The 26,785-nt window shown below is 62.5% G+C and overlaps 2 protein-coding genes and 1 non-coding gene across 9 annotated transcripts in view, besides 6 other annotated features; 2 read left to right on the forward strand and 1 right to left on the reverse strand.

Moving 5' to 3' along the window:
- The window catches only part of LSP1 (lymphocyte specific protein 1), a 39,180-nt gene extending 13,856 nt beyond the window's left edge, over nucleotides 1-25,324 (forward strand). For 2 of the 6 annotated variants that reach the window (NM_002339.3, NM_001242932.2), the window contains 10 exons: nucleotides 13,148-13,285; nucleotides 14,493-14,657; nucleotides 16,480-16,621; nucleotides 16,993-17,085; nucleotides 17,341-17,384; nucleotides 17,561-17,642; nucleotides 19,793-19,927; nucleotides 20,298-20,375; nucleotides 20,535-20,637; nucleotides 24,834-25,324. In NM_002339.3, the coding sequence (NP_002330.1) occupies nucleotides 13,148-13,285; nucleotides 14,493-14,657; nucleotides 16,480-16,621; nucleotides 16,993-17,085; nucleotides 17,341-17,384; nucleotides 17,561-17,642; nucleotides 19,793-19,927; nucleotides 20,298-20,375; nucleotides 20,535-20,624 (967 nt within the window). In that variant the 3' untranslated portion in view covers nucleotides 20,625-20,637; nucleotides 24,834-25,324. Of the gene's footprint in view, nucleotides 1-1,766; nucleotides 2,048-3,304; nucleotides 3,723-3,929; nucleotides 4,474-13,147; nucleotides 13,286-14,492; nucleotides 14,658-16,479; nucleotides 16,622-16,992; nucleotides 17,086-17,340; nucleotides 17,385-17,560; nucleotides 17,643-19,792; nucleotides 19,928-20,297; nucleotides 20,376-20,534; nucleotides 20,638-24,833 lie in introns of those variants that run through there. The other 4 variants (NM_001013253.2, NM_001289005.2, NM_001013254.1 and 1 more) reach the window with 4 other exon arrangements.
- Nucleotides 3,662-4,200: an enhancer, noted in NCBI's record as "H3K4me1 hESC enhancer chr11:1891831-1892369 (GRCh37/hg19 assembly coordinates)". NCBI's record gives its function as "activates a minimal SCP1, AML or CMV promoter by ChIP-STARR-seq in primed H9 embryonic stem cells {active_cell/tissue: H9 hESC(primed)}" and the evidence as "EXISTENCE:reporter gene assay evidence [ECO:0000049][PMID:30033119]".
- Nucleotides 4,201-4,738: an enhancer, noted in NCBI's record as "H3K4me1 hESC enhancer chr11:1892370-1892907 (GRCh37/hg19 assembly coordinates)". NCBI's record gives its function as "activates a minimal SCP1, AML or CMV promoter by ChIP-STARR-seq in primed H9 embryonic stem cells {active_cell/tissue: H9 hESC(primed)}" and the evidence as "EXISTENCE:reporter gene assay evidence [ECO:0000049][PMID:30033119]".
- Nucleotides 8,608-9,504: an enhancer, noted in NCBI's record as "H3K4me1 hESC enhancer chr11:1896777-1897673 (GRCh37/hg19 assembly coordinates)". NCBI's record gives its function as "activates a minimal SCP1, AML or CMV promoter by ChIP-STARR-seq in primed H9 embryonic stem cells {active_cell/tissue: H9 hESC(primed)}" and the evidence as "EXISTENCE:reporter gene assay evidence [ECO:0000049][PMID:30033119]".
- Nucleotides 9,505-10,401: an enhancer, noted in NCBI's record as "H3K4me1 hESC enhancer chr11:1897674-1898570 (GRCh37/hg19 assembly coordinates)". NCBI's record gives its function as "activates a minimal SCP1, AML or CMV promoter by ChIP-STARR-seq in primed H9 embryonic stem cells {active_cell/tissue: H9 hESC(primed)}" and the evidence as "EXISTENCE:reporter gene assay evidence [ECO:0000049][PMID:30033119]".
- Nucleotides 13,106-13,208, forward strand: MIR7847 (microRNA 7847). Its single transcript, NR_107001.1, has one exon. It is a non-coding gene; the product is annotated as a microRNA 7847 (primary transcript).
- Nucleotides 15,081-15,290: an enhancer, noted in NCBI's record as "active region_4294". NCBI's record gives its function as "activates an Ori minimal core promoter by ATAC-STARR-seq in GM12878 lymphoblastoid cells {active_cell/tissue: GM12878}" and the evidence as "EXISTENCE:reporter gene assay evidence [ECO:0000049][PMID:35858748]".
- Nucleotides 20,268-20,434: a silencer, noted in NCBI's record as "fragment chr11:1908437-1908603 (GRCh37/hg19 assembly coordinates)". NCBI's record gives its function as "represses an EF-1alpha promoter that drives an FKBP-Casp9 reporter gene in an ReSE screen in phorbol 12-myristate 13-acetate-treated (for megakaryocytic differentiation) K562 erythroleukemia cells {active_cell/tissue: K562(+PMA)}" and the evidence as "EXISTENCE:reporter gene assay evidence [ECO:0000049][PMID:32094911]".
- Nucleotides 21,048-26,785, reverse strand: part of PRR33 (proline rich 33) — a 29,722-nt gene continuing 23,984 nt past the window's right edge. Inside the window, exon 2 of one of the 2 annotated variants that reach the window (XM_047426236.1) lies at nucleotides 21,048-23,654. In XM_047426236.1, coding sequence (XP_047282192.1) covers nucleotides 22,206-23,645 — 1,440 coding nt within the window. In that variant the 5' untranslated portion in view covers nucleotides 23,646-23,654 and the 3' untranslated portion in view covers nucleotides 21,048-22,205. Of the gene's footprint in view, nucleotides 24,957-26,785 lie in introns of those variants that run through there. The other variant, NM_001395380.1, reaches the window with a different exon arrangement.

Here is a 26,785-nt window from a genome sequence, read left to right on the forward strand (position 1 = left end):
AAACCGTGTGGGCCCAGGCTCGGGGCCAGTCCCTGTGGACCTGGGGAGGAGACACTGAAGCCGCGTGGGCCCAGGCTCAGGGCCAGTCCCTGTGGACCTGGGGAGGAGGCACTGAAGCCGCGTGGGCTCAGGCTCGGGGCCAGTCCCTGTGGACCTGGGGAGGAGACAGTGAGGAGGGGACCTCACTTGCGGTGGTCAGCCAGTGGGTTGGTGGCATAAGGACCCGTCCCTTTGAACTCCCTTGGAACTTGTCCTGATGGGGGCTGGGCAGAGGGCAGCAAGAGTCCCTTGTCCAGCTAAGGGGAGCCACCAAGGTGAGCTACATGAAGCAAGGCTGACACGTGTGCACTAATACACACCCCCTCCAGGACACAGACCCAGAGGCCGCTGCACCCCACCCACCCACCACACCCACACACACACATGCACACACACACGACCACCCGGGACAGTACTGCGCTCACCACCACTGCCATGATCTCTTCTCTGCAGCCTCCAACAGCTCGGACTTCCCCAGTCCCAGCCCTGCAGGCCAGGCAGACTGCCCCCTACCCACTCCCTGTTGGATAAAGGAGTGAGCCAGGCTCAGAGAAGCTGTGGGTGAAGAGACTTCAAGGCCACTCAGCCGGGCATGATGAGCCCGGGTCCCTGGGTCCCTCCTCCACCCGCATCACCCCACCCCTTTCCCGGGGACCCCTTGGGTGTCCTGCCATGTCAGGTGCAGGGCTGGGAGAGGCATTGCAGGCAAAGTGCTGTGTCCTCAGTGATGAACCCTGAAGGGCCATGCTAGGTGCCCGCAGCTGCCAGGGAATAAATTCAATGCAGTTTACATCCATTAAAAATGGTGCTCTGGGCCAGTGGGAAAACGTGTCCCCCCTGCCCCGTCGCCCCCCACCCCTGCCCCAGCGATTCTCCTTGTCTACACCCAGTGCAAGCCCAGGGGCTCTGCATGTAGTCCCATAACACCATTTTCTCCAGGTCTGGCTGTACCCAGCCCCTGCCAGAATGCGGCTTCTGGCTGGCAGGGTCAGGCCCTGGGCTGACCTACCCCCAATGCCTCCCTGCCAAGTCTGCCCTTCCAGGCACCTGGGAGTCTGCCCTGTGCCTCCTGCCTGCCCCTGGGCAACTCGGGGCTCTCCCAGGGCCAGCTCGGGCAAGGCAAGTGTTAGGGATGGTCAGGGGACCTCAAGAGGACTTCAGCCCACTCAACTCCAGACGTCACCCGGACTCAGCCAGCGGCCTGGCCCTGCTACCTGTGGGGTCCTGGCTTTGTGAGAGGGCACCAGGCCGGCTGAGAGTGCCTTGTAGCCTGGCCCGGAGTGAAGAGGGGGGCTGGGGATCAGCCTGGCAGACGTTCTTATCAAGCATTGAGGTCCCCGGAGCCCCGTGCCCACCCTTAGCCATGGCTCTTTGGGCGGTGTGAGCCCCTCCATTCCCTCCATCTCGGGCACACATCTGCCCACACATATACAGATGTGGCAGCCACACCGTGCTTGGCTCTCCGCAGGGCTCTAAGGCCCCTCAGGCAGGGACCCACCCTGAGCAGCCTGGTCCAGGGACCTCTGGGGCTCCTGATGTGGCCAGTGGGGCAGGAATGGGCTGGCAGCCTGCTGGGCTGGCCCTGAGGGGGCTGGGGGAAGCCAGGCCTCCAACCACAGTGTCCAAAAGGGTGTGGCTGCCTTGGGCCCATCCAGGCCTGAGATCCTGAGGGTGGGGTAGCCCCCGCCCTGGCAGGGCTGGAAGTCGGTCTTCGGACAGAGCCCGTCCTGCCCAGAAGCCCAGGCGAGCCAGCAGCAGGGGTGCAGGGACCGAGTGGCCCAGCCCCCTGGGCAGGGTGTCAGGGCCAGAGCCCAGAGGACGGCGGTTCAGGCTTCAGTCCCAGCCGGCGAACCAGAGCTGGGCAGAGCGGCCAGCAAGCGGCAGCCAGGGTGCCCTGGGCACTCGACCCCCAGATGCCCCTGCTGGAACCGTAAAGGGGAGGCACCCTGAGGCCAGAGGGAGCATGGCCCCGGGGACTGAGCATCCGGCTCAGAGCGGCTTGGCAGAGGTCGGTGGACTGGGGTTAACCACAGAGGTCTCTGGAGGGCAGACAGGAGCCACTGCAAGTGGGAGCTTGTGGGAGAGAAGCCCTTGGGTGACCCCTGGATGGGGCGGGGACCATTAGGGAGAAGGGTGAGGGGCTTGGCCCCTGCCCCAGGCTCCAAGTGGGCTGAGACCCGGGAGGCTTGAGGGTCGGCTGCTACCCATGACGGGTTGGGGAGGTATTGGTGCGAGCTGAGGTGGTGCTTGCGGAGGTGAGATTGAGGGCCGGGCCTGGCCAGGGATGCTGGGAGGGGGGCAACCCTGTGCCTGGGGCTGTGAGGGTCTCTTGACGAGAACAAACCCTACCTGGGGAGAAGTGACAGAGAAAAGAAAGAAAGAAAGCGAAGGCACGAGAAAGAAATGAGAGAAAGGGAGGGAAAAATGCTGAGAGGGAGGGAGAGCAGGGGCTGCCTTGAAGGAGGAGGGAGGGGGAGCAGAAGCGGGTGCAGGGTGGTGGCAGGATGGGAAGGGCAGAGGGAGGGGCTGAGGTGCGAATGGAAGCTGTGTGAGGGTCCCGGGCACTGCCCCTTGCCGCCGACCCCAGGTGTGGGAGGAGGGGTCTCTCCCACGTGGGCCGCACCTAGCAGGTGCCGGGGCAGAAGGCTCAGAGCCGCTGTCTCACACAGCTTCTTGGTGCTCCAAAGACGGGCGGTAGGAGGAAGATCAAAGAAGCGAGAAATGGATGCTGGAGGAACGCAGTGAGGCCAGGCGAGGGCTGGCGAGCTTGCCAAGGAGAGGGCGGGCGAGGAAAATGGGGCGCCCCACAGAGGAGGGGGCGTGGGGGGGGCTGGTTTTCCCCGAGACTGAGAAATGAATTTCTGCACCCGGACTGGGACCCCCTGGGTCAGGACCCTCCACTCACATTCAGGAGCAGCACCTCTTCTGGCCTCTGTCCCTGCCTGGTCTTCCCCACACCCGGTTCTTGGGGGTTGAGGGGTTGGAGCCCCAGCCACGTCATCAGCTCCCTGGGACCCCTGCGTGAGACGTGAGAGGTGCACCTCCGAGCCTCCGTTTGTGCATCTGTAATGGGGATGATAGGACTGCGCCCCTGGCGACCATTGTGAGGACGGAGGCGCTGGCTGCACTGGTGCTCACTGTGCCTCTTTAAACGGGGATGTCTGGACCTCTGGTGCAGAGGACCAAGGCCGGTCCACTTGACCTCAGCCATGAGGACATCCCAAGGCCATGTGAGTCTCCCACGGCCCACTGAAGCTGGTCCTTCATACCCCATTTTGCAAACAGGAAAGCTGAGGCTCAGGGAGGCACCAAAGCTTACTCCCATCCTGGGGCTTGGCAGGGGGTGCCCGCAGCACCCGGGGACATACACCGGGGAGTCTCCTGGGAAAGAAGTGCCGGCCCAGGGGCAGACTCTTTTCTGCTCTGCCATGTCTTCCCTGCACCCCCAGGGATGATGAGTCTGGGAGGGGCTGGTCAGCCATGAAAGCTTCGGGGAGGGGCCGGTGGCCAGGCCGGGCACCCCAGAGCTCCACAGGCAGACATGGTGTGGGGGTGTCAGGAAGAGGGCCTGGCTGCTGGGTGCTACGGTAGGAAGATCCCGGTGCTGTGGGAGTGGAGCAGGTGGTTGAATGCCAGGCTGGCTTGGTCCTTCTCTCTGGGTGCCGGCTGTGGCTCCCGCCCAGGTGGGCACCACGTCTGAATAATGTATGAAGCCTCTGGTTGCGTGGAGGATGGGAGCGCTTCGGGCAGCATCTGTGGGCAGAGACTTCAGGGATGTGAGGTACATCTGGGCATGGCTAGCTGGGAAGGAAAGAGGATGGCAGAGCCTCGAGCCGTTGCCAGGGACTGGTTGCGTGTCCCAGAACGTGCCAAAAGCCTGCCTCGTGAGCACGGCAAGAGCTCTGCCAGGGCAGTCCCAGCTGGCCCAGGCGCCGCAGCGCTCCCGAGGGCCGTCGAGCAAAGGCGGGAGGCGCAGCCGGGCTGTCGGTGGACCTGTAGGTATCAGGGCTCCTTGGTCCCCTCCTGCGGGAAGCAGGCACCGAGTGGGGCTGCATGTAGACGCATGCGAGGGTGAGAGCTGCGGCGGAGGACGCTGATCGCGGAGTGCAGGCGAGGGCCCCAGAAAGGTCCCGCAGGTCGCCTCGCTCGTGGCACGGGCTCGGCAGCGTTGTGGTTAGTGACACGGAGGAAGACAGAAAGCCATATGCACAGCACGCAGAACAGGAGGAGGGGGGAAGAAAGAGCAGGCACGGGGCAGGCAGAGCCGCAGCCACGCCGCCGGGATGCAGCAGGCAGGGCCACCCACGAGCAGGGCGGGGCCCTAACCTCCGACCCAGGCTGGTCGCCGCAGATGGGGGCAGAGATGTGAAACAGCTGCAGAGCGGGACAAGGGTGCTGCCGGCACAGGGCTGACCACAGAGCACATCAAAAGAGGTAGGGCACCCAGCGCAAGGGAGGTGATGGGCTGGTCAGCAGGACATCAAGCCGGTTCTGGACCCTGCTCTGAGGACGGTCCCTGACCCAGCCTCTGAGGACCAATGGGAAGCCAGGGGTAGAGGGGTTGGGGGAAACCAGGCTCCATTTTCCAGTCTCAGCAGGGGGCCAAGGCTTGCGGCTCTGCGGAGGCCACACCATGAGGTTTCCAGGGTCATAGATGCCCTTTGGTCAGCGCTGTCTGCCGCTGCACGGGCACCCCTCCTGTTGGGTGTCTGGGTAGACTTGGGGGTCTGTCCGGCTGGCGTGGGCACCTTTGGGAGGGGGGTGTGTGTGGCGGGCAGGCCTGGGCTGTAGTCACCCCAGCCCGTGCTGGTAGAGTTGGGGTCTGTCCGGCTGGCGTGGGCACTTTTGGGACGGGGTGTGTGTGGCAGGCAGGCCTGGGCTGTAGTCACCCTGGCGCACGCTGGTAGAGTTGGGGTCTGTCTGGCTGGCGTGGGCACTTTTGGGAGGGGGGGTGTGTGGCGGGCAGGCCTGGGCTGTAGTCACCCTGGCGCACGCTGGTAGAGTTGGGGTCTGTCTGGCTGGTGTTGGCACCTTTGGGACGGGGTGTGTGTGGCAGGCAGGCCTGGGCTATAGTCACCCTGGTGCACGCTGGTAGAGTTGGGGTCTGTCTGGCTGGCGTGGGCACTTTTGGGAGGGGGTGTGTGTGGCGGGCAGGCCTGGGCTGCAGTCACCCTGGTGCATGCTGGTAGAGTTGGGGTCTGTCCGGCTGGCGTGGGCACCTTTGGGACGGGGTGTGTGTGGTGGGCAGGCCTGGGCTGTAGTCACCCTGGCACACGCTGGTAGAGTTGGGGTCTGTCCGGCTGGCGTGGGCACCTTTGGGACGGGGTCTCTGTGGTGGGCAGGCCTGGGCTGTAGTCACCCCAGCCCATGCTGGTAGAGTTGGGGTCTGTCTGGCTGGCGTGGGCACCTTTGGGACGGGGTGTGTGTGGCGGGCAGGCCTGGGCTGCAGTCATCCTGGTGCGTGCTGGTAGAGTTGGGGTCTGTCCGCTGGCGTGGGCACCTTTGGGATGGGGTGTGTGTGGTGGGCAGGCCTGGGCTGTAGTCACCCTGGTGCACGCTGGTAGAGTTGGGGTCTGTCTGGCTGGCGTGGGCACTTTTGGGAGGGGGTGTGTGTGGCAGGCAGGCCTGGGCTGCAGTCACCCCGGTGCACGCTGGTAGAGTTGGGGTCTGTCTGGCTGGCGTGGGCACCTTTGGGAGGGGGTGTGTGTGGCGGGCAGACCTGGGCTGTAGTCACCCTGGCCTGCGCTGGTAGAGTTGGGGTCTGTCCGGCTGGCGTGGGCACCTTTGGGACGGGGTGTGTGTGGCGGGCATGCCTGGGCTGCAGTCACCCCGGCCCGCACTCAGACTAGTCCTGGCATCACCACTCTGGGGCGAAGTTGATGCAGGAGCTCAGGGCCCTCATGCAGCACTGGGTGGGTCATGAAGCTCAGGGGGCTTCAGCAATGGAGGAGGCGACCCTATCCCATCCCAAGTTGGACAGCAGTCCCAGCGGTGGGGGGTGGGGGTATAGGGGGAAGCAGGTTCGGATTGGGTGGGTAAGGAACCCAGAGGAACAGACCCCTCCCTGTGCACCTCTCCCCAGAGGTGGAGGCAGGGAGAGATGGAGGCAGGGAGAGGTGGAGGCAGGGGGCAGAGACAAGCCTCAGGTCATCAAGAGTTGAGGGCTGGCATCTGGGATACAGGGAGGATGGGGAGAGGGGAGGGCTGTGCGGGTGGGGGGCGGCTCTGTCTCCCCTTGGCTGTGCCTCCCTGGGGACCGCTAGGCATACGCACGGCCACTGCACCCCTTCCTCCCTGCCAGGACCCTGCCCACTGCGGCGACCCCGAGGCTCAGAGCAGGCACAGGAGCCCCTCCTTTGAGAGACTTCCTGCCAGCTCCCCTCTGTGCTTCTTGATCCACATCATGGGTCAGCGCTGGTTTCTTGGCAACTGCTAAGATTTGTAAGGGCAGGGAGGAGATCTCACTCCTCCGTCTTTGGGTCCCTAGCACCTGACAAAATAAACTGCTGGCTAAGGAAAGATGGAGGGAGGGAGGGAGGGAGGGAGGAAGGAGGGGAGGAAAGGAGGGAAGGATAGAGGGAGGAGGGAAGAAGGAAGAGGGAGGAAGAAGGGAGGATGGAGAAGGGAGGAAGGGAAGGAGGGAAGGAGAAGGAGAAGAATGGAAGGAGGAGGGAGGAGGGAGGAACTGGACCGAGGCTATGGCTATGGAAGAATCATGCCCTGGGCCATCCCAGGCAGGCTGAGAAGAAAAAGCTGGAACCAAGTCTGGGCTAGTCTGGTGGTTGTGGGGCAGGAAGTAGCCATCAGGGTGGCAACCAGAAGAGCAGGGAGCCCAGCAGAGGAGGGAGGCCGGCAGAGGAGGGAGGCCGGCAGAGGAGGGAGGCTGGCAGAGGAGGGAGGCTGGCAGAGCAGGGAGCCCGGCAGAGGAGGGAGGCCGGCGGAGGAGGGAGGCCGGCAGAGGAGGGAGGCCGGCAGAGCAGGGAGCCCGGCGGAGGAGGGAGGCCGGCGGAGGAGGGAGGCTGGCAGAGCAGGGAGGCCGGCAGAGGAGGGAGGCCGGCAGAGGAGGGAGGCTGGCAGAGCAGGGAGGCCGGCAGAGGAGGGAGGCCGGCAGAGCAGGGAGGCCGGCAGAGGAGGGAGGCTGGGGACAGTGGGGGCAGGCCGGGGACAGTGGGGGCAGGCCGGGGACAGTGGGAGCAGTGTCGGGGACAGTGGGGGCAGGCTGGGGACAGTGGGGGCAGTGTTGGGGACAGTGAGGGCAGGCCGGGGACAGTGGGGGCAGGCTGGGGACAGTGGGGGCAGGCCGGGGACGGGGGGGCAGTGTTGGGGACAGTGAGGGCAGGCCGGGGACAGTGGGGGCAGGCTGGGGACAGTGGGGGCAGTGTCGGGGTGAGGATCTGGTCTCCCGACACCCCTTCCCGGGAGCGAGACCTCAGGCCCAGTCTTCACTCCCCAGCTGTGAAATGGGTGAGAACAGAGGGTGGCTGAGACTCAGGGCTGTTCAGGGTGGGGTGGGCTCTGGACCCAGCAGGCCCGGCACCCAGGCCAGGGCTCCAGGGGAGGCCAGGTGGGGCGAAGGCCAAGAAGGGGCCGGGGCTGGTCAGAAAGGGCTCCTGGTGACCAGAGCACTTTGCCTGAGCCAGCGTGGGAGGGAGGTGGGCTGGATGAGCCAGGGAGGCGCCGGGAGGGGCCTTGGCAGAGGCGACTCCCTCCGGCAGCCCCCAGGCCACTGAACCCTGGGTAGTGAGAACCGGCAGGGGAGGCTGCAGACGGAGGAGTGGAGGCTCCTTGGCTTTGGGGGCTCTGAGTAGAAGCACCTAGGGGGTCCCTCAAGAGGTCCCCAAATGCTGCCCCATGGTGAGGAAACAAGGAGAGGCCCGGCAGGGCCCCCCTTGGTTACAAAGGGCTGCCACTGTGAGAAGGCAACACTGCCGGCTGGGGCTGGGCTTTCTACCTCACCAAGCCTCTTCCCACCCAAAGGGCCCAGAGAGGGGCAGCTGCCCCCCACAGCGGGCACAGCACCTCCTCCCTGTGTGATGGGGTGGGGCCCACAGTCTCCTTTCTCGCGGCCTCCCTGGGCTGACCCTGGGTCCCAGCTCGGCCATGGGGGCTTCGGCATGTAAAGCCCATGGGGGGCAGAGCCTCCGGCCCCTGCCAGCTTCTGGCTGTCTGTGTCGCCCCCAGCACTGGGCTGGTGCCGTGGAGGGAGGCTCCGCCCTCCCCCCCATCAACCCGCTGAGGAGTTCTGTCTTCCCAGGGTTGTGAGGGAAGCCAGCTCTGCAGGCCGATGTCCAAGTCCAGGCGCTGCCTCCTCCAGGGAGCCTTCCAGACCTGATCTGTGCAGCAGAGGCCCAGAAGGACCTGGGTGTGGGGATCCTAACAGGAGGCGGGGGACCCAGCGCGTGCAGAGAGGGTCCCAGTGCTTCCTCCTGAGTGAGGGTCACCCATCCGGCTCCAGCTGCACAGAGCCACTCCCTCTGAGCAATCCTGCTCTCTGCCTTCCTGCATTAGCTCTTGCCTGCACCCAGTCCAGCAAATCCCTGCTCATCTTTCAGACCCAAGTTCAAGGCCTCCTCCTGCTCCGGGCGGCTCATCACTCGGCCTCCCCAGGCAGAGAGGCTAGGGTCCTGCTCACTGCGGCGTCTCCCTTGCCCACTGGCGTGGGACTACAAGGAAAGGGGTTGACCCCCACCCTCCCCTGCCATGCCCAGCAGGGTGCAGCCACAACCGGGAAGGTGCTAGAGGCCCCGGGGGGGAGGCTGGGCCAGCACCAGGCGTTGGGGGGCAGGTTCCCGTCTCTACGCCCGAGCCCCAGGCGGACGGCGCATGCCCCTCCCGCTGCCCCACCTGTCACCCACCTGCTGGCCCCGGGCTGTCTCTGCTCCTGGCTCCCCTCCCAGCTGCGTCCCCAGCTGCCTCTCCAGGGAGGAGTGACAGCTGGCCTGTGCCACACCCTCGAGCCCCTCCCTGGACTGCCCCCTCCCTGGGGCAGGACCCCTGCGTGTGGCACAACCAAGGGGCCTGCTGATGGGGGCTCATGTGAGCAGTGCCCCAGCTGTGGGTGTGGGTGCTGCCAGCTGCCACCGCCTTTGCCCTGGCTTCCCAGATAGGCCCCGACACACACTCCGAAGCTGTATCATGAACGCTGTGGTGGGCGGCTGGCGGGGAGCGGGGTTGCTGTCCCACTACCCTCTGGAAGCCTCAGCCACGGAGGGCCCCTGTGGGCACCTTTTCCCGGCACACGGTGCTGTGTCTCTCCACTCTTGGGCTCTGCAGTGACTTGAGGGGTCAAGTCTAGGACCCCAGGGGAGGCTGGGCTCATGAGGGGACCAGAGACCTCAGTGCTGTGCAGGGAGCCCCGAACCACCCTGGTGGAAGGCCCAGCCCAGCTCCCCAGGCCTCCTGCCAGCTCCCTGTGGTGTCCAAGGGACCTGTGGTCAGGCCTGGAGGAGAAGCTCCCCCTCCCCTCGACATCCTCCCCGCAGCCCTTGCTCTTCACCAGAGCCTCCTCACTCCCCAGGACCCCAGAGAGGACGGACCCTCTCCAGCCGCCCTCTGGGCTCAGGACAGCCGGGTGGGGCAGCCACAGGAGCTGCCTGCAGGGGGCAGAGTCGGGACGGGGACCGAGCCGGACACCCATTCTGCAAGTGTCTGCAGGGGGAGGACGGAGGTGGGTAGCTGGGAGTGCTGGGCCGAGGATGGGCATTGTCAGGCCCTCAGCGGGGACTGGGAGGTAGAAGTGGGGGTGGGGGTTTGTGGAGGAAGGAGAAGAAGGGCCAGCGTCCCGAGTCGGGGGGTGCTTGGCAGTGGATGAGGCCGGCAGGAACAGACCTGAGCTTGGGGAGCTCCACTCCGAACGAGGCATCCGTCAGAGTTCTGTGCATACTGGTGTCCCTGGCTGGGGGCCAGGCCCCGAAGTGGAGCCTGGGACTGTGAGGGTGCGGGGGTGTGCTGGGGTGGGAGGTGGATGGAGCCCCCCCACCGCCTGGCCCCTTGGGCTGAACCTTGGGCTTCGGAGCCAGAACAGACACAGGAAATCGCCTAATTGCATTTGTGCAGGAACACCAAATCCCTCGCAGCTGCACGGGGCTGAGCCAGGGCCACGGGCGGGGTCGGCCATCCCAGAGTCCTGACAGCTCCGTGGTGCATGCCAAGGGGCCTGGGCCGCTGGCCGGGGGGCGCCTTTCCCAGGCCAGAGGCCCCCACCCCACCCCAGGAGAGCTGCCCCCCTTTCAGTTCCCAGAACGGAGCCCAGCTGTGGAATAGTGAGGGGGTGAGGTCATGGGGAGGGGGCCCGCATGACTCATATCCTGGGGTAGGGGAAAGGGAGGAGACGTAGAAGGGGCCCAGAGGCCTCCACGTCCTCAGGCTGCTGGGTCAGAGGCCAGGGGCTGGCCGGGCTTCTCCCCAGCACTGGGTTTTAGGGGAGACACCAGGAGATGCTTACTCTGCATCCCCTACTCTGTCCCCCAGGCCCCTAGCCAGGGAGAGCTCAGTCGGAGTGATCCTCCAGGGGCCCAGCTCTGCAGGGACGATGTTCCCAGAGTACACACCTGGGCCTCGTGCCAGGGCCGGCACCGCCGTTGTCGGGGCAATGGCAAGGCAAACAGTCAACGTTTGCCTCACTAAAGTGAGGCTGCGGCACCCTGAAGGGATCCCTGGAGGGGGACGTGGTCCCCTTGTTCCCAAGCCTGTCTGCACACGCACGTGGATGTCAAAGGTTCCCGTGTGTGAGCACGTGCATACTTGTATGTGCATGGGGTGCGGGCATGTATGCCTGTGTGGCTGGAGCGTGGGCTCGTGGAGAACGTGTGTGAGTTGGGTGTGCACCTGCGTGTGCCCCAGGCCTAGGGAGTCCTGCGCCCGGCCGCACTCCATGTGTTGGGCATGAGCTGTGAGCAGAGTGAGGGCCTTTGTGGGGCTGTTGGGGCCCGGACTGCTTGCCCATAGGGGTGGACCTGAGGAAACGTGTGCACACGAGCTTCTGGGGTCTCTGCGCCAATGTGTACTTCCAAGCCCCGCCTCCCCTATGGCTTGGTGGAGGGGGTCTGTGGAGCTGGAGTGAGGGCCCTGGACCCATCGGAAGCCCAGGTCCAAGGAGGAGCATGGGCTCCCTCTCATGCCCCAGGCCCAGGGACACACACCCCAGCTAAGCCCTTGCTCACATGGAGGGGCTGGGACATGGGAACACGGGGAGCAATATGGCCAGGCTTCCCCTCCATGGAACCCCTCCACCTCCTCAACACTCTGCCCCAGCCTGCGCCGCCCTCTGTGTGGAGGGGCTGGGGCGTGAGTGAGCACGAGGGCCCCTGCGCCCCAGGCTCTGCCTCCTCAGGTGGAACAAGGCCCAGCAGCCCCCAGCCATGCGGAGGCCGGCAGAAGCGGGAAGCTGGGCCTCATCTGCCCGGATGATGGGAGCCAGGTGTGGGGAATTAAGTGGCTTCCTCGGGGGCCGGGAGTTGAAGGCACTTCTGAGGAGCAGGACAGGCAGGCGGATTCGGGGGCGCGGGGGGCGGGGTGCACAGGCGGCTGGGTTTGCGTGGCTGGAGTCCCCTGTGGCTTCGGTGGGGGGAGTGGGCCTTGAACTCGGGCCTGTGGAAGGGCCTGGCTTTTGTCTGAGAGGCTTAGGGGAGACCTAGGAGAGATTAGATCACGCGCTGGCAGGGCTGTCTGGCCAGGGGACTGGGGCCCAGTGGGGATCAGGCTGCAGGGTCAGGCAGCGGCCACTGGCCGGGAAGAACTGAGACCCCAGTGGGGAGACCCCAGCCCTGCTCCCTGTTCTGGCCTGGGCTCCCTCCCTGGGTCTGGGATAATAAGCCCTGTAGGAGTGTAGAGACCCTGGACCCCCTCTCAGGCTCTAGGAGGGCGATGGGAGGCAGGGCCATGACAGCTGAGGCTGCGGTGTCTGCAGGACCTGGACCATCTGAGAGCTGCTGGGCCGGGGCTCTGATGCCCAGGTCCAGGCCAGCCTGTGCCTACCTCTGTCCCTGAGGGGGGCGCGTGGGACCCCAAGAAGCCATGGTTTCAGGCTCTGAGGGCAGAAGCACTCCCTTACCTCAGTTTCCCCATTTTTGAAATGGCTCAATCGGCTGGGTGCGGTGGCTCATCCCTGTAATCCCACCACCTTGGGAGGCTGAGGCGGGCGGATCACCTGAGGTCGGGAGTTCAGGACCAGCCTGACCAACATGGAGAAACCCTGTCTCTACTAAAAAATACAAAATTAGCCGGGTATGGTGGTGCATGCCTGTAATCCCAGCTACTCAGGAGGCTGAGGCAGGAGAATCGCTTGAACCCAGGAGGCGGAGGTTGTGGTGAGCCCAGATCACACCATTGCACTCCAGCCTGGGCAACAAGAGTGAAACTCCGTCTCAAACAAACAAACAAAAGAAACAGCTCAGAGAGACTCCGCAGAGGGCTCTGAAATAAGGATGGGGTGGGGTTGGGTGAGCCGACCCTGTAAGGTGCCCCCAGCTATGGGGTTAGGCCCAGGCAGGACCCATGAGTCTGCGGAGCTTCTGTGAGCGGGGCTGGTGGTGGGACAGGAGGTGTCCTGCCTGGACGTGCTCAGGCCCTCCTTTCCTCAGCCTTCGACCTCCCCTTTCTCCAACACGCCCTGCCTTTGGGGTGCAGGAGGGAGCACCCGCAGGTGGGGTGGAGGTGCCGCCTGGCGGTGGGCTGCGGCCAGTCTCCCTGGACTCCAGTATCTTCTTCCTGGGCCCTCCAGGGTCACCTGGGTCTAGGTCCTGGTTCTACTTAGGGAGGGAGGCAGGCTGGGAGAGGGGGACAGAGGGCCTTTTGTCCTGTCCTTGAGTTTCTTCAGGCTTGAATGGGCCTTGGAGTCCCACCTTCATCCCCACAGGGCACAGGGGTGCCCAGATCCTCACAGGGCCCCAGGACCCTCGCCTGGGCCAGAGGGCACCTCATGACCACGTGGGCAGCCTCTATTTAAAGATGGACAAGGTGAGGCCTGAGGGCCGGCCTGGGACTGACCTCGTGGACAGGGCTGCCTGCACCGTGTGGCCCCAGCAAGGCCTGTGTAGATGGGAGGAATGGGTGCAAAACAGCACCTGTGTCGGCTGTGGCGTGACTGTCCCTCTGTGTCCCCCACTAGGCCCACTGCTCAGTGGAGCGTGGAGGACGAGGAGGAGGCCGTCCACGAGCAATGCCAGCATGAGAGAGACAGGCAGCTTCAGGCCCAGGACGAGGAGGGAGGCGGCCATGTCCCCGAGCGGCCGAAGCAGGAGATGCTGTGAGCAGCCCCATAACGCGTGCCTGGGCTCTAGCCCCTATCCGTGTACCCTGGGGCCTGGGCAGAGGGGGAGGTCAAGGGCCTGGGCTTGGGGGTTCCAGTGCAGGATGAGAGCGAGGAAGGGCCCCCAGGAGCAGGCGTGGGAGTGGGTGAGTGCTCCTGGGGCGAGGGTGGCCACAGCCCTAGAGGAGGGTCTGCCAATACCTGGCTGCCTCCTGGGCGCTGACCCAGGCTCTGTGTCCGTGCCCTGGCCCTTGCTCGGACCGCCTCTGACCCCAGCCACGCAGCCTGGCCGAGCCCCCCACCAGACTCCCCCGCCAGTGACTCACAGAGCCACGTCCAACTTGGCGGCCAGGCTGGCTTGCTTCCTCCTTGGGCCCAGGAGGCCTCCGCGGCTGGGCTGGGCTGTTTTTCCAATAATGCTTCCCTTCCTTCTGGCCTCTTTTGTTCCATTTTCTCCAAGTCAGCAGCCTTGGGCAGAGTGGGGTTCAGCGGTCACCATAGTCAGGCCCTTGGCCACCCCCACCAAGGGCCCCAGCTATCCAGGGGCTCCCCCTGCCACATGGGAGGCCTGAGAAGTCGGGGCTTAGGAGGACCTCATGTAGGGTCCTCATGTGGGGACCAGGGCAGCCCTTGGGGAGCCCCAGGATGATGGGGGAGGCACAGCCCTGCCCTAGGGAGCCCCAGACTGATGGGGGAAGCACAGCCCTGCTGTTAGGGAGCCACAGGCTGACGGGGGAGGCCCAGCCCTGCCCTAGCGAGTCCCAGAGTGATGGGGGAGGCACAGCCCTGCTCTTAGGGAGCCACAGGCTGACAGGGGAGGCACAGCCCTGTCCTCAGGGAGCCCTACACTGATCGAAGAGGCACAGCCTTACCCTCAGGGAGCCCCAAACTGATGAGGGAGGCATAGCCCTGCCCTCAGGTAGCCCCAGGCTGATGGAGGAGGCATAGCCCTGCTGAGCCTCAAGGAGTCCTGGACTGATGGAGGAAGCACAGTTCTCAGGCTGCCCCAGAACTGACGGGGGAGGCATAGCCCTGCCCTCAGGTATTCTGACCACAGGAGACACAGCCCAGAGCCAGCTCTGTGGCAGACAGGGTCTCCCACACTTGGAGTCCAGGGCCTGAGCGGGCGCCGTGAGGTGAGTGTGGGCCCTGGGCAGAGGAGGCAGCAGCCGCCCAGGCCTAAGCTCCCCCCTGCTACCCTCAGCCTCAGCCTGAAGCCCTCGGAGGCCCCTGAACTGGATGAGGACGAGGGCTTTGGCGACTGGTCCCAGAGGCCAGAGCAGCGGCAGCAGCACGAGGGGGCGCAGGGCGCCTTGGACAGCGGAGAGCCCCCCCAGTGCAGGAGTCCTGAGGGGGAGCAAGAGGACAGGTGAGTGAGGGCCTCGAGGGCGGGCGCTGGGCAGAGCAGGGCTCCCTCTGGACCTCGAGGGCGGGCGCTGGGCAGAGCAGGGCTCCCTCTGGACCTCGAGGGCGGGCGCTGGGCAGAGCAGGGCACCGCGGAGCTCCCTTCAGGCCCTCAACCTGCGCCTGAGCAGCCACCCCATCCTCCCCTTTCCAAGCAGAGCCTGAAATGCCCCCATGGCCAGGAAAGGGGGAGACAGGAGGGGAGGGAGGAAGAGGGCGAGACAGCATGGTGGCCGGCGAGGGGCCGCGAGGAAACCTCATTCTGGGGCTCCCCAGGGCCCCTGGGCCCCATCCAGGCAGCTGCGAGGCCAGGCCGGGTGCTGCCACATCAGCACACAGCTGCGGCCGCTTCCGTAATGGAGGCTGAGAGCCCGCCGCCGCCCCTTCCTCCCTCGGGGCTGGCTGATCTCCATTCCCACGGAGGGGAGCAGGTATTTCCAGATGTGCATGCCGGAGAGTCGGCCGGGAGGACGCACTTTCCAGATGTGGGGATGTGTGTGCCTGTCTCAACCCCAACAGGCCCAACAGGGGCTGCTCCCGAGCCCCACTTCACTACCCCTGCTCGGGGTCCTTGCCGCTCTCAGTCATCTGTGGCCATGATGGGGCTGACCCCACCCGCCCTGCAGGGCCTGGGCCATCTGGGACCCCAGCCCTGCTCAGGACCCCCTTGCCTTGAGTGGGACCAGAGCCCATGGCTGGGCTGACAGTTCTCCCTGGTCAGGGTCCTTCCTGGCCCCTCTGAGGCCCTAAACCAGCCTGGAGCTCTAGGGACCAGTGTTGCTGAGCGACGCTCCCTTGTCCTCCTACAACCAGGCTCCCACTCCCCAAGAACCACTGGTCCTGGCCTGGCGCAGTGCCCACCGCCCCCCTCCCTGGGCCTCAGTCTCCCCCCTACGTGCTTGGGAGTCAGCGGCTCTGCTTTTCTGAGATGGGGCAGCTCCCTTCTCCCTTGGCCTCAGGCCTAGGCGGGCGAGGCTGCTCCCACCAGCAGGGGGCGCTTTGACTCTTCCGTGGAGCCCAGCTCTGCGGCCGCCACCCCACCCCCTGCACCTGCCTGGCTGCACAGACCTGCTCCTGAATGGCCCCTCTGTGTGGCTGCTGCTGGCTCAGACCCCTGCCCACCTTGGGCGGGTGGGTCTGGGTCTTGGCTGGCACGCACACCCAGGGGCCTGAAATCATGGAAAATTCGAGAATTTCCCATCTTCTCCTCCAGGTTCAGTCCTGCTCAAATGCAGAGCCGCTCAAAGCTGCCAGCTGGCTGGCCTCCCCTCCCCCGCAGCCGGCAGCCCCTTGGCCCTGCTCCTCAGTGACCTGGCCCCTACCCCTGCCTAGCCCTCCAAATGACCCAGCCTCCAGTCCCCCAAACACCCAAGGGCCCCCACAGGGAGCAGAGCAGGAGTGGTGGCCCCAGCAGCCCGGCCTCGCGGGGACCCCGTCAGACCAACCGGGTGTGCAAGCAGCTGCCAAGCTGAGGCCCAGCCACAAAGCTGGGGATTGAACCCAGCCTCAGTGCCTGGGGGACCCTCAGTCTGTAGAGCCCTGTCTGGCAGGGACTGGGCAGTTCCCCAGGGGCCTCAGGCCCTGACACAGGGGCCCAAGCAGACTGCGCTGGCTCTGAGGCCACTGGACCTTCTTTCCCAATGGGCTTGGGTCTCAGATCCCTTGGCACTCAAGTAGCCTGACTACCTTCATTTTACAGATGGGGAAACTGAGGCTTGGAAAAAGGAAGGGGTCAACCAAGCAATCCAATGGCCCTAGAACGGCTTTGCCTCCCTTTCCACCCACAGGCCCGGCCTGCATGCCTACGAAAAGGAGGACAGTGATGAAGTCCACCTGGAGGAGTTGAGTCTGAGCAAGGAGGGGCCAGGCCCAGAGGACACTGTCCAGGACAACCTGGGGGCCGCAGGGGCTGAGGAGGAACAGGAGGAGGTGATGGCTCCACCTCAGAGGGTCTGGGTGTACCCCCACCCCAGGGATGAGTCTGCCTTGGCTGTCTGCACCACTCTGTGGGCCCTGTGGGTCTAGCCCAGAGTGGGTCAGCACCCCACACCCCTAGACCTTGCAGCCCCTTCTGGGCCCACATTCTCAGAGAGGGCAAGGCTCAGTGATCCTCTTGCAAGATCCGGAGACATCTCTCCAGACTCCTCAGTCCCTCCCCACCAGCTCCAGAACTGGAGCACGTCAGGGCCACAGAGAACCTGGGGCTCAGGAAGGAACAGCATTTGTTCCCACAGGTGCTGGGCAGGGCAGGAGGGGCACAAGCAGGGGGTCACTTGGGATGTCTGTTTTTTTTTTTCTAGCACCAGAAATGTCAGCAGCCCAGGACACCCAGCCCCTTGGTCTTGGAGGGGACCATCGAACAGAGCTCGCCTCCCCTGAGCCCTACCACCAAAGTAAGTTAAGCTGCAAAGCCTGCCATCTTCTCCCCTCTCCCGTACTCATACCCAAAAGGCCAATCCCACATGCCAGCCACAGGAAGACCAGGCCCAGGCCTGGCTTTTGTCTGCTATCCCCCCATTGCCCGGTGCTCAGCGAACCCCCATGATATAAGGGTTGGGGGTTGGATTAGTGGTTGGAGTAGCTGGGGAGATGGAGGGTGGGCTTTACCTCGGCTGCTGCAGGCCTGTGTCTCTCTCCACCCTCTGCAGCTCATCGACAGGACCGAGTCCCTAAACCGCTCCATAGAGAAGAGGTCTGTCTGTCTGTCTGTCTGCTTTCTGGGCTCAGATCTTAGGTTTAACCAAGTGGGGGTTGAAGGGAGTCACAAGGTAGAGATCTGGAGACCGAGGGGGGCTCTGGGAGAGGCTTGGGCAGGTTGGGAGAAGCCTTGTGGGAGACATGGGGCCTGACACATCTTCTACCCTCCAGTAACAGTGTGAAGAAATCCCAGCCAGACTTGCCCATCTCCAAGATTGATCAGTGGCTGGAACAATACACCCAGGCCATCGAGGTATGACCTGGCTCCCCTCTGCTGTCAGGTCCCTCCTGCATCCTGGCACCATTCCTTCATCCAACCAACGCCCTTCCATCCAATCAGTGCCGCCTTATTCAACCAACACCCTATCCAACCAATGCTTCTCCATCCAGTCAGTGCCCCTCTACCCAATCAATGCCCCTCCATCTAATCAATGTCACTCCATGTAATCAATGCCCCCCCTTTCAATCAATGCTACTCCATCCAACCAATAATCTCCCATCCTATCAATGCTTCTGCATCCAATTAATGTTCCTTTATACAACCAATACTCCTGCAACCAATACTCCTCCAATTATTCAGTGTTCCTCCATTCAATCAATGCCCCCCTCGGAACAGTACTCCACCACCCAATCAATGCTCTTTCATCCTATCAATGCTCCTCTATCCAGCCAATATTCCTCCAGTCAATCAATCCCCCTTTATCCAACCAGTACTCCTTAATCCAATCAGTGCCCCTCCATCCAATCAAGATTCATCCCTCCATCCAATACTACTCCATCCAATCAGTGCCTCTGCATCCAATGTCCCTCCATCCAATCAATGTCCCTCCCATCCAATCAATTCTCCTCCATCCATCAATGCTTCTCCATCTGACCAATACCCTCCATCCAACCAATACTCATCTATCCAATGAATGGCTCACCATGTAACCAATGCCAGTCCCACATGCCAGCCCCTCCATTCAATCGGTACCTCTCCATCCAATCATCCAATACTCTTCCATCCAGTCAATGTCCCTGCATCCAACCAATAGTCCTTCATCCACCAACTCCCTTCAATCCAACCAATACACCTTCATCCAATCAATACCCCTATTCATTCAGTGCTCCTCCATTCAATCAATTCCCCTCCAGCCAACCAAAACAACTTCATCCAGTCAATGCCCCTCCATCCAATAATGCCTTGCACCCAATCAATGGCCTTCTATCCCATCAATTTCCCTCCATCCAACCAAAATAGTTTCACCCAATCAATGCCTCTGCTTCCAATCAATGCCCTTCTATTCAACCAATACTTCTTTATCTAATCAGGACATCTCCATCTAACCAGTATCCTTCCATCCAACCAACACTCTACTAAATCAGTGCCCCTCCATCCACCCAGTGCCCCTCCATCCACCCAGTACTCACTTATCCAACAAGCACTCCTCTATCTTACCAGTATTCCTCCATCCAATCAGTGCTCTTCTATGCAATTAATGCCCCTCCATCCATACTTTACTCCTTCACCCAATCAGCGCCCTTCTAGTCAAGCAATACTTCTGATTTCAATTAATCCCCCTTCAACCAACCAATACTCCTCCATCCAACCAGTACTCCTCCATGCAATCAATGTTCCTCTATCCAACCAACATCCTTCTATCCAACCAATATTCCTCCATCCAATTAATGCCTCTCCATCCAACCAGTACTCCTCCGTCCTATCAATGCTCCTGTATCCTATCAATATTCCTCCATCCAACCAATACTTCCCCATCCAATCAATACTCCTTCATTCATTCACTGCTCCTCCATCCAGTCAATACCTTTCCATCCTACCAGTGCCCCTCCATCCAACCAATACTCCTTTATCCAATCAACGTCGTTGCATGCAATCAATGCCCCTTCATTGAACCAATACGGCTCTATCCAACCAATACTACTCCATTCAATCAATGCCCCTCCATCTAACAAACACTCCCTCATATAATCAGTACTCCTCCATCCAATCAATATTCCTTCATCTATCAACACCTTTCTATACAACCAATACTCCTCCATCTAATCAATGCTCCTCCATCCAACCAATACTCTGAAATTTAACCATTGTCCCTCTATCCATTCAATGTCCCTCCATCCATCCCATGGTCCCCCAGCCCTACCCCATGAGGAGCATGGAGGCAGACCCACATCTGTCCTGTGCGCCATCATCTCCCTGATGCTCTTCAGGACAGGGAGGTGTCTCACAACTGCATCGAATGGAGGAAGGCTCATCTTTCCAGTGATCCCCACTCTGGGGCTGCATTGGGAAAGCGCTCCCAGGGAAAACACAAACACAAAGCAGACGGTTGCCCAGTGTGACCCTCTGATGTGACCACGGTGGCTGTCCACTAAGGTAATCCTGATGCTTTTCCTCCTCTGCAGACCGCTGGCCGGACCCCCAAGCTAGCCCGCCAGGCCTCCATAGAGCTGCCCAGCATGGCTGTGGCCAGTACCAAGAGTCGGTGGGAGACGGGTGAGGTACAGGCTCAGTCTGCGGCCAAGACTCCGTCCTGCAAGGTAAGGTCCCCTCCAGGGGCAAGGCTGGGCTGCAGAGCCAGCGCCTGGGAGTTTAGTAGCAGGCCGGGTTTCCTTGTTAAGACAAGCATGGGACTGTCCAGGATGAATGTGGGTATACAGAACCCTGAGGTATTGCAGTAGGGTTGGGTTCACCCTTGCTGGTGTAGAAGGCTGTGTTGTCCGAGTGGAGGTAGATGGCACCTTTATTCCTTTCCCTGCCTCTTCCACTGGGATCACACAGAAAAAGTTTAGGTAGGCAGATCCCAGGCCCCCTGGCCAGGTAAGGCAAGGCGGGAGAGAAGGGCCCAGGGCTTCTACTCCCCAAGATCCAGGGGTCTGCCCTTGTGACATACCCTTCTGCTGCCCCCAGGATATTGTGGCTGGAGACATGAGCAAGAAAAGCCTCTGGGAGCAGAAGGGAGGCTCCAAGACCTCATCAACAATTAAGGTAGAGCCTAAATGTGGTTGGTGCAGGCAGGGTGGGTGCAGCAGGGGAGGGCAAAGAGGGACTGTCCTCTGTGCATCTGGGAGGGCTTCCCAGAGGCGGAGGCAGCATCATCTCCTTTCTGCTGCTCTCACCTTCACTCTTGGTCTCCTTTCCCAACAGAGCACCCCATCTGGGAAGAGGTATAAGTTTGTGGCCACCGGGCATGGGAAGTATGAGAAGGTGCTTGTGGAAGGGGGCCCGGCTCCCTAGGCGTCCCATCTCGGTGAGTCCCTGGCAACTCACAGAAGGGGATGAGGTGCACACACGTGCACTGTGCTGGGAACTTGGCAACCTGGAGGCTGCCTGGAGCCCTGTTGCAGGCTACAAGGGTGGACTCCGAGTTGGCCAGAACCCAGACCAGCTCAGTCTCCCAGTCCTGTGCAGATGCTGCCTCTCTCACCTGATACCAGATTCAAACTCTCTGCTCATTTCACTAGAGTCAGCCCGGCTCAGCCACTGCTCCACTAGGGAAGCTCAAGGCTCCCATCTGGGACTCCCCAAAAGCCACAGCAGGGCTCGTGAGGGAAGTGAGGGGCAGCCTGGCCACCACAGGGCTAGCATTGAAGGAAGCAGGTGGCATGGAGCCCAGGTTCCCTGACCATCTGTATGCTGAGGGTCCATAGAGGGGCAGGAACTTAGGTCCTACTCCCTGTCCCAGCCGAGAGCGATTCAGAGGTCCTGATGCCCTCCCCATCCCATGCTGCAGACAGAGCAGTGCCACTCCTGCCATGGTGAGACACACATTTATTAGTGACCTGGGCCCCAGGCTCCATTTCCAGCACCCATCACACCACAGGGTGGGGCAGCTGTCCTCCTACCATCTTCCCCTGCCAAACCCTGACTCTCAAGCAGCTGTGGCAGAGGCTTTTTCTGGTACCTCTGTGTCCCTCTCCTGTGGTTGGCCACCCCCACCAGAGCCTGGCTGACTGCTGAGTAGGCCCCTCCACTCTCCCCACCAGGGCCACAGCCCCTTCTCTGTCCCGCTTGGCCAAGCTGTTCCCATAGGGTTGGGACTGAGGGCTCCCTCCTCATCCAGCTGTCAAAGCCTGGGCATGGCCAGTGCTGAGACCCTCGCTGTCCCACCAGCGAATCCCTCGAGTTCTGCCCCCTCAGGCTGTCAGCCCAGGTAGGGGAAGCAGAGGTGGGCCGAGAGAGAGGTCACGCTGGGCCCTCCTCCACCCCTGATGAGCCCCTCCCTGCCTGCCCCTGAGCACTTGTATTGGTGCCAAGTCCCACGCTGGCTGAGGGCTCCCCCCTGCACCCTAGTCCCAGGATCTGGCTCTGCCATCAGGAAGCACAGGCAGCAAAACTGCTGACTGCTCCTGACGCCGATGGCCAAGCCAGCCTGACCGCACCCATGCCTCAGCAAGCAGAGATCTGGCCCCAAACCTTTGACAGCAAAAGGTGACAGCAAAAGGGAGGATCAGTGAGAGGCCCAGGCCCCTGAGGAGCCTGGGCTAGGTCAGTAGATGCAGTCCTCTGCCATCTTACCTAAAGTTTTCATCCCAAGGCCCCCATCCTACATCCCGACGCAGACCCCTTCTCTGTTCCCCTCACACCACTGCAGCCCAGGGGCTCCAGCTCGTCCTCTCTGCCCCGTCCACCTGACCACCCTCCTAACCATGCAGACTTCCCTCAGCACCCCATGTGCCCTTCCCAGGCTGCCCTGCACCCCATGCCCCTTGGGCCCTGGTGCATCTTCATGCAGCAACTATGGGCCCCCAGCTAGAGCCTCAGCCCCTTCTTCTGTCCATCCCATGGTCCTGGGCTCTGGGGGCCATTCTGGCCACTTCACTGGAGCCTCCAGCCAGTCGCTGTGCGGTTGAAGTTCTTGGGCTGGGGGCTCAGCTCCAGGATGGAGCGGACTGTGGGAGGGGGCCGGGTGGCCTCCTGCAGCTTCCGGGCGTTGAAGCGAGGCCGGTACAGGAAGGGCAGGCGGGTGAGGCTGGCTGGGGTGTGCTCCCCACCGCTGGGCCCTGCCAGGCGCCCTTGGGCCTCCGCCACTGACATGCGGTACAGCACGGCATCCCACATCCTGGAGGTCCGGGAGGCGGGGGCCCGGGGTGCGGTGAGGGCGGGCACCTCCTGCTCTGTGGGGGCAGGCACCTCCTGCTCTGTGGGGGTGGGCACCTCTGGCTCCAGGCTCTGCCGCGGCTCTGGGCACGGAGGCTCTGGGGCCTCCTCCAGCAGCTGCTTCTTGAGCCACGTCCAGCCACTGAGCCGGGGCTTGGGTGCAACTTTGGGGACAGGGCATGGGTGAGGGCCTGATGGTGGGGTAGGGGATGAGGCCCAGGCAGGGCTGGACACTCGCTCGGCCTCAGCGGCGGGGCCAGCCATCGGGGGCTCCTCCAGGTGCTCTCTGCCAGGGCCCATGGGGACCAGGCTGTGCGGTGAGGACTCCAGCGAGCGGCAGGTCGGGGCTATGGGCACCACAACCCTGGCACTAGCCTCTCTGGGCACTGAGGCCTGGAAGCCGGGTGGCGGCCGTGGTACAGGGGGCTCCTCAGGCAAGGGACTGGCAGCCTGGACTGTGGTGGGCAGTGGGCGGATGTGAGCCACTGGGACCAGGGGCTGGGCCCTGGGGGGACTTGGGGTGGCATCTCCATCCTGGCTGTTGGATCCCACTTCTGGGGCTGTCCTGGGAGGCTCAGGGGTCCCATTGTGTGGGGATGGTGCCAGCTGGATGTGCACCTGGGTGACGTGGGTGCCCCCACCCCCAGAGACAGGGACGAAGCCACTGGGGGGCCGGGTAGGTTCTGGGGCCGAGGCTACAACCTGGGGCCCCATGGCCCTGAATTGAGCAGCTAGAATCCTGCGCTGGGTGAGGCCGATGGAGAACGTGGACTTCTGCAGGGGTGATGCCACGTGGTGGATGATGGGGGTGTGCGGGGAGCGGGGTAGGGCAGCCACCATGCGGGGAGCCTCGGCGGGGCGTGGGGCTTCAGGAAGGCGTGGGGCTTCGGCGGGGTGCGGGCCCTCAGCAGCGTGCGGGGCTGTGACCTCCTGGTCATGGCTGGCCTCACTCACGGGGGACAGGGAGGTGCGGAAGGCCCTGGGTGGAGCGAGGTGTGTGCCTCCCATCATCTTCTTCCGGGCTGCCTTCCTCAGGAGCTTCTGCAAACGCAAGTTGTCCTTCCCTGGCTTGGGCAGCAGGGGCGGTGGGGGTCCAGGGGTTCCCTGGAGGCTTGGGCCGCACACCTCGGGTGCCATCGACGCAGCCGATATGAGCATGACTGTGTCCTAGGGTGGGAGGGACAGTGGTCAGGCCAGCCCTCCTCCCTCCTGAGGTGGGAGGCCTGTGTCTCCTGTGGTCCAAGGAGGACCTGGGGCCAGGGGTGTGGAGGCCTGAGTATTCTGCTTCCTGAGCACCCAGAACCTGCCAGGGACATGCTGAGCTCGACTGTGCCTTGGGGACTTTGGGGTGGCCCCACCATCACCCTAGTGTAGAAATGAGGCCACAGAGGCCGAGTCCCTCCAGGGATGGGGCTAGAACCTGCCTCCAGGGCTCTGTCCTCCATGCCACCCCAGCACAAAGCAGGCCCCAAGTACACAGCCTGGGTCAGGCCGCAACACCGTGTGGGCTGGGGTGGGAGACGGAGACGCGGGTGAGCCCCAAGTGACAGGCATGCCCCTGGCCAGCTGCTGGCCAAGCCCAGGGCTGGAAGAGCGGCTGCCCCCAGACACGTGAGGGGCGCCCTGTTGTCGCCGGCTCAACCACAGGCGCGTCCGCTGCGAGCCAGCGGTGAGGGGTGGCGGCCAAGAGGCTTGGGAAAGCCGAGGCTGCATCATCAGAGGTAGATTGGCCGGAAGGTGGGAGCAGTTTTCGCTGAGCTATGCTAAATGGGATATTCCCGCAGACCTCCTGTCTGGGGTGGCCCGGCCAAGCCGCCCACCCTGGTTTCTGGGCACCACGTGTTTGCAAGGACATTGACAAATGGCATCTGTCCGAGCCAGAGGCTCTCTGGTTTGGGGAAGGAGGGAGTCCTGGGGGCTGCCGCTGGTGGGGGCTGGCTCTGCCAAGGCAAGAACAGAGCTGCTGGAGGGGTGGGGGCGGAAGGAGCCTGCTTAGGACTGCTCTCAGCTACCGGCCTCCTCTGGATGACGGGACTGCAGGAACCACGAGAACCCCAGTTCTAGCTCCCAGGGTGGGCAGGCTGCTTGGCAGGCAGGCCGCCTTCCCTCCACCAGGAGTCAGGTCTCCAGCCAGAGGTCCTGACCCAGGGCACAAGTGCTCGCACTGGGAAGCAGGCCTCTGAGGCAGGACGTCTTCTCCTGTGGTGGAGTGGGGGTGTGGGCAGGGCAGGGAGGCCAGCAGAGAGAGGCTCGGGGAGCAGGCTCTGTGGGCTTGCAGGAGGCAGGTCTGTGGCCCCTCCCTGGACCCTAGCCTAATGCCCCCTGCACCCCATGCCTATGTTCCAGCTTCCTGGGTCTGCAGGTCCAGCCGGCTGGCACCCTCCATGTACCCAGGGGAGATTCCAGCCAGACACCCGCCCCCCGGCCCTGGCTAAGAAGTTGCTTCCTGTTGCCAGCATGACCTACCCTCGCCTCTTTGATGCCATCCGCTGCCACCTCCTTTTGCTCCTGGACCCTTTAGCCTCTCTGCCCTTCCACTCTCTGACCACCGCCCCCGCCCTCCCCACCCAGCTCCGCTTCTTGTTACTTGGGGGAGGAAAGAAACTCCTGATCATTGGCCAAAGGGACTTACCCCTGGAGAGGCCAAGTGCCTTCTAGGAAGTTAGGAGGTTGAGGCACAGCCTGTGCAGAGAGGGTGGGTCACCCCCCCAGATCCAAGGAGAAACTGCAGGTCAAGGGCTGATAACGGCCATGCAGGATGCTTGATGCTGCGTCCCCCGCTGCTTGCCGCCCCCCACCCCGCCATTTTGTATAATAAAGCTCCCTGTGTATTCTCATGTGCTGGCTGTCTTGTACTCACTAAGGGGGCAGGGCTGGCCAGGATGGAAATGTTGGGCCAGTGGCCAGCCCATTCCCACACTGCACAGCATGCTGTGGCCTCTGGGTTCAGGCAGTCTGACCTGTCTCATGGCCTTTGCAGTATAAGACGCCAGGACATAAGCTCTCTGGTGGCCTAAGTCAGAGCACACACAATGGGTGGGGTCCGGGCTTCCTTTTCCAGAATGTCTGTGATATCCCTACCCCAACCAGGACTAGCCCAATATAAACTTCTGTGCCTTGACTTCGCACCCACTGAGGGCAAGATCCACCTCGGGGCCTCCCCCAACACCACACAGGAGGTGCTCAGTGAAGGTTTGGAAAACAGACAAATGGGTGGATGGGTGGGTGGATGGATGGATGGGTAGGTGGGTGGACGAATGGATAGATGAATAGATTAATGGATGGATGAGTGGATGGATAGGTGGGTGAATGGATGGGTAGGTGGGCGAGTGGATGAATGGCTGGGTGGGCAAGTGGGTGGATGGATGGATGGGTAGGTGGGTGGACGAATGGATAGATGATCAGATGAATGGATGGATGAGTGGACAGATAGGTGGGTGAATGGATGGGTAGGTGGGTGAGTGGATGAATGGCTGGATGAGCGAGTGGAGGGATGGGTGAGTGGATGAATAGGGGATGGATGAATGGATAGAGGGATATGTGGATGAGTGAATGAGTAAGTGGGTGGGTGGGTGGATGGATGGATTGATGGATGGATGAGTGGACGGATAAGCAGGTGAATGGATGGGTAGGTGGGTGAGTGGATGAATGGTTGGGTGGGTGAGTGGAGGGATGGGTGAGTGGATGAATAGGGGATGGATGAATGGATAGACGGACATATGGATGAGTGAATGAGTAAGTGGGTGGGTGGGTGGATGGATGGATTGATAGATGGATGGATGAGTGGACGGATAAGCAGGTGAATGGATGGGTAGGTGGGTGAGTGGATGAATGGTTGGGTGGGTGAGTGGAGGGATGGGTGAGTGGATGAATAGGGGATGGATGAATGGATAGAGGGATGTATGGATGAGTGAATGGGTAAGCAGGTGGGTGGATGGATGGACTAATGGATGGATGAGTGGGTGAATAGGTGGGTGAATGGATGGGTGGGTGGGAGGATGGCTGGCTGGCTGGCTGGCTGGCTGGATGGATGGATGGATGGGTTAGTGAATGGATAGGTGGATGGATGAAAGGAGGGATGCATGAGTGGATAGGTAGATGAGTGGATGGATGGATGAAGGGATGGCTGGATGAATGGACAGAGGGAGAGAGGGGGGATGGAGGGAGGGATGAGTGAGTGAATGGGTAGGTGGGTGGGTGGATGGATGGATGGAAGGAGCGATAAATGAAGGGATGGGTAGGTGGTTGGATGGATGGATAGATAGATAATGGAGGGATTGATGAATGAAGGGATGGAT

This window comes from Homo sapiens, chromosome 11 (assembly GCF_000001405.40).
Source record: "Homo sapiens chromosome 11, GRCh38.p14 Primary Assembly".
In the NCBI taxonomy this organism is placed as follows: domain Eukaryota; kingdom Metazoa; phylum Chordata; class Mammalia; order Primates; family Hominidae; genus Homo; species Homo sapiens.